Consider the following 14,464-nt stretch of genomic DNA (forward strand, 5'->3'; position numbering starts at 1 on the left):
CCAATTTGTCCAGAAGGATCTTCCTTTACACATGTTTTCTGTGTGTGACTATTAGGATCTCCCCCTTTCACTCTCAAAATGCCTGAGTTTGGAGATAAATTGCATAATTGTTCTATGCATAGGCATGGGAAATGGTTGGGCAAGGGAGGGGCGCAGGTCATGGGCAAGGTTACTGGCACAGTCTTCAAGGCAGAAAAAAAAAATCTGGGGCCAAATTCTTTTTTTTTTTTTTGAGGACTAAGCTAGTTGGCGCCACAAGAAACTAAGACCACATGACTTCTTGTAATCCAGGCTTCTTGAGCTTTGTCTTGGCTGAACTATCTTTGTTCTGGCTCTTGAATGAGTCTTGCTACTGTATTCTAAGGGCCATCAGAGCCCTAAATGACAGCTTAACAGCAGGCAGTTACCCCATGCTTCCTTCAACATGGTCAGGAGCCGCCCACAGGCAACCTGTTGCTGGTGACAGGGATAGGAAACCTGAAGCAAGGAATGACCTATTTTGCCTGGGTCCTGGAGTTAAATTTACTGGCCTAATTGCCAGATGTAATTTCTCTGCACCTCTTTCTGTTAAGTACTCTTTAAGAGCAAAGCACTTAGTAAATTATAAGGAGGTACCAGCGTGAAAGTGCTTACAAATAAGAATTATGGAAAATCAGAAGCCAAATGCTCACAATAGCAATTTTTTTTTTCTTTAATCAGAAAAGGAATCCAAACCATACAGGAGGGGTGAAGTCTCTCAAGCAAGCGATAACATAAGCTGTTCATATATTTTAAGATCTAATCTATCATTTAAAAATTATTTTATTACAGGGAAGTTTTATTAAAAATAGAGTCATGTTCCAATATCCCACTGTGTGCCCCAAGGGAAGCCAGATAAAGGGCAATAATAGAACTAATGGGAATTAACTTTATGGCATTAATCTACCAGGCTGAGAGAGCAAGAGGCACAAATTGGTAGATGGGGAAATTCAACTACCAATCAACCCATGCCACATGTGTTTGGTAGCTGTTTCTATGGGTTTTCATTTCAGGAAAGTGAGTTAGTCACACAGAAGATGGCATGTGACCTCAGCCACAATGAAGGCAGAAAGAAACAAAACCCAGGCTTTCTGGAATCTTGGGTAATCCCACAGGAAGATGTTGAGTTTCTTAGAAACAGAGCGTGGAGGAGGAGCCAGCTATCTATCAAAGGGACTGTGAGTTTGCTGGCTCCACATCAGTCACCTCCTGGGGGCAGGACATCAAGCACAATTGGCACATATTTTTCCATGTCTCACCATCACAGCTGGAATTGGTAGCATTGGGTTCATAAGAGGCTATGTTGGGAAAACCAGCAGACCAGGCATTTTTGAAAACCACAGCTTACATATATAAACATGCCCAGCACAGTGTATAGAATACGAGAGCACAACAAATGTCAGCCCCTGTTTTCCTCTCCCTGTCCCACTGTGTCTCTAGAATAGCAAGATGATAGAAGATGCGACTTCCATCATCAGATGGAGACAAGACTTTCTTGGGCTTTCTGGGAACTCGGTCCATCTTCCTAACTACATAGAGGTTTACAATTAATGCACATGGCTTGGGAAACTCACCTCTTTTGAGAATAAAATGTTTTCAAGCTCCTTTCTGTTTCTATCACCATCCACATGTGTCTCTAAGGCCCTTGTGACTAAGGCCATGGCCACCAGCAAGCTGTAGACTGATTCAAGATGGAATGGACCTGAAAGCCTCTTGATTCTCAGAAGACAAGAGCTCCCTTCTTAGAAAGAAAAGAAAAAAGAAAAAAAGAGAAGAAAAGACTTTCTGCTTTGGATAGTGGTTATGCTGGTAAATCCAACAGACAGCCCTAAGGAAGAAATGAGTCGCAGAGAATAAACTCCATCTTCCTACCTAACAGGATTTCCTTATCGCAAATGGGAGATTCGTAAATGCAAGACTTAAAAGCCAAGAAATCTCTTTTTCTTGCCAACCGGGGATTCCTTTCCCACATGCATTCCCAAAGTCTCAGCTGGTGCTGATTGTGTCCAGCAGCCTAAATCACAAGGAGGCTCTTAACAATATACAGGCTGCAGTTTGGACAGGGTCACTATCTTTAGAGCAAAGTGTGCTGCCTCCCCCAGCTACAAGTCAGCTGTCCTTTCCTCATCTCCCTCAACCTCCAGCCCCAGGGAGAAATGCATTAGCAAAAGCCAGAGCAGGCAGGGTTGATTTGAAAGAGAATGCTATTTGCCTAATATTTCTTCTCTCCACATCATCAAAATTGGTCAGTTTCATAATGCTCTATGTCCTTTACACATTGTCAGGTAAGATACATTGCAAATGTGTGTGGCTTAACAAATATATGGTAAATAAGCATTTTTCCTCTTCTTTCTATCGATGAAAGATTCTACAGAAAGCTGAAGGAGGACAGAAAGCCACTTTGTAAAAATGATAGATACGGTATAAAACTCCATAGCTTAAACATCTAACTTGCTGAGTTTTAATGGGGTTGTCATCACCGGACTGTTAGCTTAACTTATGAAAATCAAGAAAATGCCTTTTTGTTGCTTCATAAATCCTGATGAACAATAGTCCGACAACAGAAAACAACCTCTGATTTTGGAATGATTGCTCTCTGTGTATCGCCCGTAATGAAGTATGAAGGAAATCGAAGACTTATTGCTTACAGACATTAGCACAGACTCAGATGGCTCAATTTTTTTTTACCATAATAGATAATTCTTAAATTATATGCCTAAAAAAGACAAATTCTAGAACTAACGGAAGGCATTTATTATATTAACAAGTGTGTTTTCGATTCCTTCAAAACAGAATGTAATTTAATCTCGGCTTCAGAGACAGATTGGAAATGTTAAATGTCTGCTTTTCAGAAGTGATTTCTGCGGGGAGAAAAGTATTCACCATCAGCTTTAGCTGTGTAACTGGGGGAAAGGATGTTTATCTTAACAGCACACAAAGGGAGAAGTTGTGGAATTTTTTTCCATTTTCTTTTTCATTTTTTAAATATAGAGCAGATTGTATATATCCTAGTACTTACCCAGGGCAACTTCTGCCTTGCTGAATGTAACATATTCCACTGTGAGAAAGAATAATTATCTGATAGTGACGGAGACCCTTCTTAGTGTTCTGTGCATATAAATGAAAACCTGAAACCTGCCCAGTGGTGTTCATTGTCTTATTTGTTACTCCAGGGACTTGGCTGGGTGTGGCTAAGGTCTAGACTGGAGATTTGTGATTTTCTGGGGCTATCCAAAGGCCCCAGTTAATAATCGACCTGCAGAGGATGGTCAAAGCTGTAGAGGACTAGCATACAATGCCACGTGAGAAGAAGAATAGAGGGATCTGAGGCTGTTTGACTTGGAGAAGAAAGATAACCTTAGGGAAGGGAGAAGGGGTAGAAGAAGGTCATTGTAGGAGTTAGCTGTGAGTCTCATATAGAGGGGGGCAAGTGGCTCCAGAGGGCATACTGGGACCAAAGTCTATTTTCATAAGGGAGAATATTTTTATTCTATTTGAATAATGTCCTAATTCACCTTGCGGAGAGGAGGGTATCCAGGGTGCTGGATTCCATAAGAAGTTCAGGACTCGTGCCTAGGTACAGAATGAGGAAGATGGAGTCAAATGAGATTTGAAAGACAGGCAGTGTGTAGTGGGATGGACAGCAGGCAGTGGGACCCAGCAGGTGACTTCAGAAGGGAATCAGGGGACGCCGCATGCGAAGATTCTCATCTGATGGATACATTTGCAGGGCATGTTACAGAACACCTGAAGCCTCACCTGTAGGTAGGAAGGAAGCAGTCAGTGTGCCTCCCCAGTTTGGGTGAGGGACTTGCTCATAGTGAGAGCTGTCAAAGAAGAGAACTGATGGTCTTGTAAAGAAGTAATTTCTCCGTATCTGCTCCTGTTCACATGGAAGCCAGTTGACTGTCTGCTGGGGATACTGTGTAGGGGATGCCAGGCTTGGGTGGGACACTTTTGGGGATGACCTCTGAGGTCGTGCCAGTTCTAACTGGCATAAAAATGTCTTCCTTGTCACCATGATTCATTCATTCAGCACTGATTTATTAAGCCTCTACTATGTCCCAGCCAAAGTACTAGGCACTGGGGACATGAGGGTGAACACACAGACATAAACCTGGCTCTCATGGCACCTACTGCCTTGTGCTGGTTGTTATGAAGAAGTGCAGGTGCTATGGAATGTATCGCAGGTATTTGGATATATTGTCTGATAGGATGAAGATGGACTTCCTGGAAGAGGAAATGTTGAGGGACAAAGAGAGAGAAAACGATACCTTTATGCAAGGAGAACAGAGTGAATGAAAACACGGAGGAAACAAAGGGCAAGTCCAAACTGTGGAATTACCCTTTAGCTTTAATGTCTGAACAAAACAAAATGTGGTAGTCAGGGAGAACCTTATGGACTTATTTTCACAGCTTAATTGGTTACATTAAATTAAAAGTTGAGGTAGGGGAGGACAGAGAAAGAATACATGCCTTTTGATCCAGATTAAAGTGATCTGGTAGGGATTAAAAAATGGGGATTATCTCTTACCGGCAGGGTTTGGTTGAATAAAGCAGTGGAGTTTTGGGGGATAGGTTACAGGGGAATAGCATGAGCCTTCTGGGGCATGGTTGGAGGTATTTAGAGATATCAAGGCAAAAAAAATTGCACAAAGAGAGGTGAGAAACCTTCTTTCATGCCCTCAGCTGGTAAGAAGATAAACTTTCTTCACTTGAAGTGTTGTCCAGACCATAACTCAGTCCTGAGTGTCTCTCAGGCACAAAAACCCTTAGTTTGGCCAACCTGCCTTCATGCTTTTATGCAGGGAGAGCCTGTGGTGTAAGTTAATTTGGGATTTTAGAAAGGGAAAAAAAACCCTCCATTCATTTTGCTTTCTTCCTATACTGTATAGCTTGCAAAGTATTTCACATATATCTGAAGAGGGTTTGGTCATCTTTGTTGAGTAGAGAGGAGTTGAGATTCAGAAATGGGAAATGACTTACCTAAGGTTGCAGCTCCACTTGGAAGCAGTGCCACTACACTCCTGATCGGATGGTTCTTATTTTGGCATGTGGTTTCCATTGCTGGGGCCTGAGAAATAATGTTGTTGTTGTTGTTGTTTTCCCAAGAAACACCTGCCCCCTCTAAAATGGAAATATGAAGGGTTAATGAAGGGACAGACCCCAGGAGGCTGATATCCAGTACAGCTGCGTGTCCTTGGAGAAGCACAAGGACTTTCCTGAGTGAAAGAAAAGAGAGGGCCTACCTGTAACAATACCTCAGAATGGTTGATAAGCATTTGCTCCTCTATTCTGGGTCTTTTTTTCTCTCTCTCTTTTTTTTTTTTTTATTGCATTGCTGTGGAGTTGAAACTGGCTGAATCAGCACTGAATCATTTAGCAGGAAATGATGAAAACTGTCACTTTCCTCTGTCTGCATAGTAAGACACAGCAGAGAGAGCCCAAGATGACGGAGGGGCCGTCTGACAATGCCTCAGGCCTCAGATTGGATTGTGAATGGGAAGAGCCCATAGTCTAATCAGTAGTCATTCCCCCAGGTGGGTCACAGAGTGTGAATGTGAGGTTGTCCCTGCAGCAAGGACACCTAGTTTACAGACCCACAGAAACAGTGAGGTGAGGAGGCGAAAAGACAATCTGCGGGTCCACTGGGAAATCTTGCACCAGAAGTTGAATATCTTAAATAATAGGGTAACCTGGACCCCATTTGGTGCTTATAGTAGCTGTGGGAAAGAGTGCCAGCCAAAGGGCTTATTGACAGGGAAGAGATTTTCTTGAATTCCCATAAATAACATGTAACCTTGCTGGAATGCCTTTTGCTATCTGCTCATTCAGCAGGGAGATGTGAGATGTTTTCACCATCCACTCATTTTAAAGTGCTTTCAGGATTTTTCATAAAATAACATGGCTTTGTAATGTTTGGCATGTTACTTTACCCTTTGAGCCTCAGTTTCCTCTTTTATAAAATAGAGATGTTAAAACCTATAGCCATAGCATTATGTGGCTGAATAATGACATAATGAATGTGATGATACTTTGTAAAGTGCACATCATTATATTATTCAGAATGCAGAGTCCTTGGGGGCACTTCAGAGCCCTTACTCTAGCACTTATCATAAGCAAGCAAACACACAACTCTCCATCTCACCCCTCCTCGTCCCCAGCTTAATGGCTTTAATGCAACTATGGACATGACCACTGACCTATGTGCTCCAGTTGAGAAGTGGTATTAATGGGAATGAGACAGGCTCCCAAATCCTGAATTGCTTCTGCTTTCTATTAAGCTAAGAGACTCTGTAGCTATGACTATGCATTATTCAGCATTCAAAAGAAAAGTATGCAACGTTCCTAACCATCCACATATTTCTGATGGTCCAGTGTTTTGGTAAGATTTATATCACAATTTAGAAACAATGTTTCTGGAGTGAGGGAGGAAAGAACAATGGAAAGAGTGTTTGTTTGTTTGTTTTTGTAATTGGGCAAGGAGAGGTACAGTCCAGGTAGCTCCTAAGAAGAGATGGTGTAGTGTTAGGAAACATGGCAGGGCTGCTGGAAATACTGGGTGCTCAGTGGGCAATTATGTGATTGGAAGATTTAGCTGGAATGAAGTTACGTTTACTCACAATAATCATTCCAGGAAAGTTCTGCCCACCTACTTTTTCTGTCTCATTCATTATTTAACAAATATTTATCCAACTTCTACTATGTAAGAAATGTCTTTGAAAGATCTAGATGAACTCAGGATGATGACTTCAGTTAGGGTGGTGGCAATGGAAATAGAACAGAGACATATATTTGCCACTAATAAATAAGTTGGCATGGCTTGCCAATAGATGCAATATAGTTTGTAAGAAGAAAAAATAATCCAAAGAGGGTTTCTGTATTTTTGGCTTAGAAAATGGATAAATGGAGGTAATCTTTACTTAGATGTAGGGGTTGGGGGAGGGACGGGGGAGCAATAGATTTGGGTGGAAAAAGCAGAATCAAGAACTCTGCCCTGGGCATACTATATTTGAGATGCCTTTAAGCCATTCAAATGATTTAACAAGTATATGCTTGGGTATACAAGTTTGGAGCTCAGTTGGGAGCACAGTCACGGCCTTGGAACACAAATATGGCAATGATCGGCATTTTGATATTTAAATCCAAGGGACTAGATAGGATCACTTAGGGAATGGATGTTGATAGAAAAGAGGACCCAAGGCTGTGACTGCAATATTTAGAAAGAGAAACCAGAAAAGGGGTTGGGAAGGAATGGCTAGTGAGGTGGGTGGAAAGCCAATGGAGCGTGGTGTCATGGAAAGGGAAGTTATTCTAAATAATTCCTAAGGTCCCTCGCAGTGCAAGCTGTCTGTGATTCTTTTTTGGTTCCCTCTTTTATTTCTCTTATTTTTCCTACAGTTTATTTAAAAAGCAAACACAAATCTTTGATAAAAATTACATGAAAATCTTGTTCAAGAGACAAAGCAAAATTTCACCTTTACCTTAGTGTATTATTGTTTTTTTAGCAAATCTTTTTAAAATTTTTATTATTTTATTTTATTTTTCCAGAAGTTATTGGGGTACAGGTGGTATTTCTACTTACTTACATGAGTAAATTCTTTAGTGGTGATTTGTGAGATTTTGGTGCACCCCTCACCCAAGCAGTATACACTGCACCATATTTGTAGCCTTTTACCCCTCTCCCCCTCCCACTTTTTCCCCCAAGTCCCCAAAGTCCATTGTATCATTCTTATGCCTTTGTATCGTCATAGCTTAGTTCCCACAGATCAGTGAGAACACGCGATGTTTGGTTTTCCATTTCTGAGTTACTTCACTTAGAATAATAGTTTCCAATCTCATCCAGGTCACTGCAATGGTGTTAATTTATTCCTTTTTATGGCTGAGTAGTATCCCATCATATATATGTGATATATCTATGATATATGATATATATCAGTTTATATATATATCACAGTTTCTTTACCCATTCATTGATTGATGGGCATTTCGGTTGGTTCCACAATTTTGCAATTGTGAACTGTGCTGCTATAAACATGCATGTGCAAGTATCATTTTCGAATAATGACTTCTTTTCCTCTTGATAGATACCCATTAGTGGGATTGCTGGATCAAATGGTAGTTCTACTTTTAGTTCTTTAAGGACTCTCCAGACTGTTTTCCATAGTGGTTGTACTGGTTTACATTCCCACCGGAAGTGTAGAAGTGTTCCCTGATCACCACATCCACACCAATATCTACTGTTTTTTTATTTTTTTATATGGCCATTCTTGCAGGAGTGAGGTGGTATTGCATTGTGGTTTTGATTTGCATTTCCCTCATCATTAGTGATGTTGAGTATTTTTTCATATGTTTGTGGGCCATTTGTATATCTTCTTTGGGAACTGTCTATTCATGTCCTTAGCCCAATTTTAGATGGGATTTTTTTTTCTTCTTGATTTGTTTGAGTTTGTTGTAGATTTTGGATATTAGTCCTTTCTCAGGTGTAGAGATTGTGAAGATTTTCTCCCACTCTGTGGGTTGTCTGTTTACTCTGCTGACTGTTCCTTTTGCTGTGCAAAAGCTCTTTAGTTTAATTAGGTCCCAGCTATTTATCATTGTTTTTATTGCATTTGCTTTTGGGTTCTTGGTCGTGAAATCCTTGCCAAAGCCAATGTCTAAAAGGGGTTTTTCCAATGTTATCTTATAGAATTTTTATAGTTTCAGGTCTTAGGTTTAAGTCCTTAATCCATCTTGAGTTGATTTTTGTATAAGATGAGAGATGAGGATCCAGTTTCATTCTCCTACATGGGCTAGCCAATTATCCCATTACCATTTGTTGAAAATGGTGTCCTTTCCCCACTTTATGTTTTTGTTTGCTTTGTTGAAGATCAGTTGGCTTTAAGTATTTGGGTTTATTTCTGGGCTGTCTATTCCATTCCATTGGTCTATGTGCCTATTTTAATACCAGTACCACACTGTTTTGGTGGCTATGGCCTTATAGTATAGTTTGAAATCAGGTAGTGTGATGCCTCCAGATTTGTTCTTTTAGCTTAGTCTTGCTTCAGCCATGCAGGCTCTTTTTTGGTTCCATATGAATTTTAGAATTGTTTTTTCTAACTCTGTGAAGAATGATAGTGCTATTTTGATGGGGATTGGATTGAATTAGTAGATTGCTTTTGGCAGTATGGTCATTTTCACAATATTGATTCTACTCATCCATGAGCATGGGATGTGTTTCCATTAGTTTGTGTCATTTATAATTTCTTTCAGCAGTGTTTTGTAGTTTTCCTTGTAGAGGTCTTTTGACTCCTTTGTTAGGTATATTACTAAGTCTTTTTTTTTTTTTGCAGCTATTGTAAAAGGGGTTGAGTTCTTGATTTGATTCTCTGCTTGATTGGTTTTGGTGTATAGAAGAGCTACTGATTTGTGTACATTAATCTTTTATCTGGAAACTTTGCTGAATTCTTTTATCAGTTCTAGGAGTTTTCTGGGGGAGTCCTTAGGGTTTTCAAGGTAAACAATCACATGGTCAGCAAACAGGGACAGTTTAACTTCCTCTTTACCAATTTGGGTGCCCTTTATTTATTTCTCTTTTCTGATTGCTCTGGCTAGGACTTCCAGTACTACTTTGAAGAGTAGTGGTGAGAGTGAGCATCCTTGTCTTGTTCCCATTCTCAGAGGGAATGCTTTCAACTTTTTCCCATTCAGTATTATGTTGGCTGTGGGTTTGTCATAGATGGCTTTTATTACATTAAGCTATGTCCTTTGTATGCCAATTTTGCTGAGGGTTTAATCATAAAGTGATGCTGGATTTTGTTGAATGCTTTTTCTACAACTATTGAGATGATCATGTGATTTTTAAAAAAATTCTGTTTATGTGGTGTATCACTTGTATTGACTTGTGTATGTTAAATCATCCCTGCATCCCTGGTATGAAACCCACTTGATCATGGCGGATTATCTTTTTGATATGTTGTTGGATTCAGTTAGCTAGTATTGTTAAGGATTTTAGCATCTGTGTTCATCAAGAATATTGGTCTGTAGTTTTCTTTTTTGGTTGTGTCCTTTCCTGGTTTTGGTATTAGGGTGATGCTGGCTTCATAAAATGAATTCCAGAGGATTCCTTATCTGTCTATCTTGTGGAATAGTGTCAAAATGATTGGTACCAATGCCTCCTTGAATGGTAGAATTCTGCTGTGAATCTATCTAGTCCTGGACTTTTTTTGTTGGTACTTTTAAAATTACCGTTTCAATCTCGCTGCTTATTATTGTTCTGTTCAGGGTGTCTAATTCTTCCTGACTTAAGCTAGGAGGGTTGTATTTTTATAGGAATTTATTCATCTCTTCCAGGTTTTCTAGCTTATGTGTGCAAAGGTGTTCATAGTAGCCTTGAATGATCTTTTGTATTTCAGTGGTGTCAGTTGTAACATCTCCTGTTTCTTTTCTTAGTGAGGTTATTTGGATTTTCTCTCTTCTTTTCTTGGTTAATTTTGCTATGGGTCTATCCATTTTATTTATCTTTTCAAAGAACCAGCTTTTTGTTTCATTTATGTTTTGTATTTTTTTTTGTTTCAATTTCATTTAGTTCTGCTTTGATTTTGGTTATTTCCTTTCTTCTGCTGGGTTTGGGTTTGGTTTGTTCTTGTTTCTCTAGTTCCTTGAGGTGTGACTATAGATTGTCTGTTTTTGCTCTTTCAGTCTTTCTGATGTAGGCGTGTAGGGCTATGAACTTTCCTCTTAGCACTGCTTTTGCTGCATCCCAGAGGTTTTGATAGGTTGTGTCACTATTGTCATTTACTTCAAATAATTTTTAAATTTCCATCTTGATTTTGTTTTTGACCCAATGCTCATTCAGGAGCAGGTTACTTAATTTCCACGTATTTGCATGGTTTTCAAAGTTCCTTTTGGAGCTGATTTCCAGCTTTATTCCACTGTGGTCTGAGAGAGTTCTTGATACAATTTCAATTTTCTTAAATTTATTGAGGCTCATTTTATGGCCTATCATATGGTCTACCTTGGAGAAAGTTCCATGTGCTGTTGAATACAATATGTATTCTGCATTTGTTGGATGAAATGTTCTGTATATAACTGTTAAGTCCATTCGTTCCAAGGTATAGTTTAAATCCATTGTTCCTTGGTTGACTTTCTGCCTTGATCACCTTTCTAGCACTGTCAGTGGAGTATTGAAGTCTCCCACTATTATTGTGTTGCTGTCTATCTCATTTCTTAAGTCTATTAGTAATTGTTTTATAAATTTGGGAGCTCCAGTGTTAGGTGCATATATGTTTAGGATTGTGATATTTTCCTGTTGGACAAGGCCTTTTACCATTATATAATATCCCTCTTTGTCTCTTTTAACTGCTGTTGTTTTAACATTTGTTTTCTCTGATATAAGAATAGCTACCCCTGCTTACTTTTGGTGTCCATTTGCATGAAATGCCTTTTTCCACCCCTTTACTTTAAGTTTATGTGAGTCCTTATGTGTTAGGTGAGTCTCCTGAAGGCAGAAGATAGTTGGTTGATGAGTTCTTATCCATTCTGCAGTTCTGTATCTCTTAAGTGGAGCATTTGGGCCATTTACATTCAATGTTAGTATTGAAATGTGAGGTACCATTGCATACATCATGCTCTTTGTTGCCTACATACTTAGTTTTTTGTTTTTGCTCTTTAACTTGTATTTTTGTTTTATAGGTCTTGTGTGATTTATGCTTTAAAGAGGTTCTGTTTTGATGTGTTTCCAGGATTTGTTTCAAGATTTAGAACTCCTTTTAGCAGTTCTTGTAGTGGTGGCTTGGTAATGGTGAATTCTCTTAGCATTTGTTTGTCTGAAAGCGACTGTATCTTTCCTTCACATATGATGCTTAGTTTCACTGGATACAAAATTCTTGGCTGCTAATTGTTTTGTTTGAGGAGGCTGAAGATAGGGCTCCAACCCCTTCCAGCTTGTAGGGTTTCTGCTGAGAAATCTATTGTTAATCTGATAGGTTTTCCTTTATAGGTTACCTGGTGCTTCTGTCTCACAGCTCTTAAGATTATTTTCTTTGTCTTAACTTTGTATAACTTGACGATAATGTGCCTAGGCCAAGATCTTTTTGTGCTGAATTTCCCAGGTGTTCTTTGTGCTTCTTGTATTTGCATGTCTGGGTCTCTAGCAAGGCTGGGAAAGTTTTCCTTGATTATTCCCCCAAATATGTTTTCCAAGCTTTTAGAATTTTTTCTTCCTCAGGAACACCGATTGTTCTTATGTCGTTTAACATAATCCCAGACTTCTTGGAGGCTTTGTTAATATTTTCTAATTCTTTTTTTTTGCCTTTGTTGGATTGGGTTAATTTGAAGACCTTGTCTTCGAGCTCTGAATTTCAATCTTCTACTTGTTCAATTCTATTGCTGAGACTTTCCAGAGCATTTTGCATTTCTAAAAGTGTATCCAAAGTTTCCTGAATTTTTAATTTTTTTTCTTTAAGCTATCTATTTCTTTGACTATTTCTCCCTTCATTTCTTATATCATTTTTTGGATTTCCTTGCATTGGATTTCACCTTTCTCTGGTCCCTCCCTGATTAGCTTAATAACTAACCACTTGAATTATTTTTCAGGTAAATCAGGGACTTCATATTGGTTTGGATCCATTGCTGGTGAACTAGTGTAATTTTTGGGGGGTGATGAAGAGCCTGGTTTTGTCATATTGTCAGGGTTGGTTTTCTGGTTCCCTCTCATTGGGTAGGCTCTGTCAGAGGGAAGGTCTAGGGCTGAAGGATGTTGTTCAGATTCTTTTGTCCCACAGCATAGCAGGACAATCCACAGACAAAACCCCTCAGACATGGAGTTAAAGAAGGAAGGGCTTTATTTAGCCGGGAGCTTCGGCAAGACTCAGGACTCCAAAAACCGAGCTTCCCAAGTGAGCAATTCTTGTCCCTTTTAAGGACTTATAACTCTAAGGGGGTCTGCGTGAGAGGGTCGTGATCGATTGAGCAAGCAGGGGGTACATGACTGGGGGCTGCATGCACTGGTAATTAGAATGGAACAGAACAGGACAGGGATTTTCACAATGCTTTTCCATACAATGTCTGTAATCTATAGATAACATAACCAATTAGGTCAGGCGTCAATCTTTAACTACCAGGTCCAGGGCATGGCGCTGGGCTGTCTGCCTGTGGATTTCATTTCTGCCTTTTAGTTTTTACTTCTTTCTTTGGAGGCAGAAATTGGGCATAACACAATATGAGGGGTGGTCTCCTCCCTTAACAGGGTGTTCCCTTGATTTAGTACTCTCCCCCTTTTCCTGTGGATGTGGCTTCCTGTGAGCTGAACTGAAGTGATTGTTGTCTCTCTTCTGGGTCTAGCCACCCAGCAAGTCTACCCAGTTCCAGGCTGGTACCAGAGGTTGTCTGCACGGAGTCCTGTGATATGAACCGTCTGTGGGTCTCTCAGCCTTGGATACCAGCACCTGTTCTGGTGGAGGTGGCAGAGGGTGCATTGGACTCTGTGCAAAAAATAATGCTCCATTTTTGTGCTGGTCGGCCTCCTGACAGGAGGTGTCACTTTCCAGAAAGCATTAGCTGTAGCAGTGTGGAGAGGGACTGGCAATGGGTGGGGCCCTAGAACTCCCAAGATTATATGCCCTTTGTCTTCCACTACCTGGGTGAGTAGGGAAGGACCATCAGGTGGGGGCGAGGCTAGGTGTGTCTGAGTTCAGACTCTCCTTGGGCTGGTTTTGCTGCAGCTGCTGTGGCAGATAGGGTAAGATTCCCAGGTCACTGGAGTTGTGTACCTAGGAGGATTATGGCTGTCTCTGCTGAGTCATGCAGGTTGTCAGGGAAGGGCAGTCAGGGAAGTGGCAGTCACAGGCCTCACCCAGCTCCCACACAAACCAAAGGGCTGATCTTACCTCCCACGGTGCCCCACCAAAACAGCCCTGAGTCTGTTTCCAGGCAGAGGGCTAGACGGGCTTGAAAACTTGCCGACGCTTTCCGCCTCCCAGAGTATATTTGAGGTGTCTCCCGGGTCCTGCAGTAGCAGTGTGCTTCCTTCAGAGGGTCTGTGGGTCCTCTCAGGATTGCTGGTTTGTTCTTGCTGTTGATCCGGAGCTAAAATTCACAGTGCAAGCCCCCGCATGCTGCTCTGTTCCCAGCTGCAATCTAGTCCTCCCTCCCGTCTGCCATGATCCTGAAATCCCCCTCTCTGTGGTTCTTGCTGCCCTTTGCATTACTTCTTTCCTTCTTGATTGCACAGGCTGAAAGTCTAGGAACTTGGACTTCTGCCTGTCTCTGGAAAGGGGCCCCAGGCTGTCCAGAGTAACAAATTATCTGCTTATCACAGTTGACACTGCTACCATTCTACTTTATTATTTCCGGCTATTATTTTCCCTGATTTTTGGGAAGCTGACTGCAGCTTTTTATCTAGATGCTCACACTCCATCACCGCTCTACCACCTCCTCTGTCTACTTGCCTCCCACCTTTCTGCGT

The 14,464-nt window shown here is 40.7% G+C and overlaps 3 annotated features.

Annotated features, from left to right (window-relative positions):
- Positions 233 to 402: an enhancer, noted in NCBI's record as "experimental_1801 CRE fragment used in MPRA reporter constructs". NCBI's record gives its function as "activates a minimal promoter by MPRAs in K562 erythroleukemia cells, with activity observed for both the introgressed and non-introgressed 1:208605807 variant alleles {active_cell/tissue: K562}" and the evidence as "EXISTENCE:reporter gene assay evidence [ECO:0000049][PMID:34662402]".
- Positions 13,048 to 14,247: an enhancer, noted in NCBI's record as "MED14-independent group 3 enhancer chr1:208618537-208619736 (GRCh37/hg19 assembly coordinates)". NCBI's record gives its function as "activates an origin of replication core promoter dependent on BRD2, BRD4, P300/CBP and CDK7 cofactors, and independent of MED14, by STARR-seq in HCT116 cells {active_cell/tissue: HCT116}" and the evidence as "EXISTENCE:reporter gene assay evidence [ECO:0000049][PMID:35650434]".
- Positions 13,407 to 13,907: an enhancer, noted in NCBI's record as "H3K27ac hESC enhancer chr1:208618896-208619396 (GRCh37/hg19 assembly coordinates)". NCBI's record gives its function as "activates a minimal SCP1, AML or CMV promoter by ChIP-STARR-seq in primed H9 embryonic stem cells {active_cell/tissue: H9 hESC(primed)}" and the evidence as "EXISTENCE:reporter gene assay evidence [ECO:0000049][PMID:30033119]".

This window comes from Homo sapiens, chromosome 1 (genome assembly GCF_000001405.40).
Source record: "Homo sapiens chromosome 1, GRCh38.p14 Primary Assembly".
Classification (NCBI taxonomy): domain Eukaryota; kingdom Metazoa; phylum Chordata; class Mammalia; order Primates; family Hominidae; genus Homo; species Homo sapiens.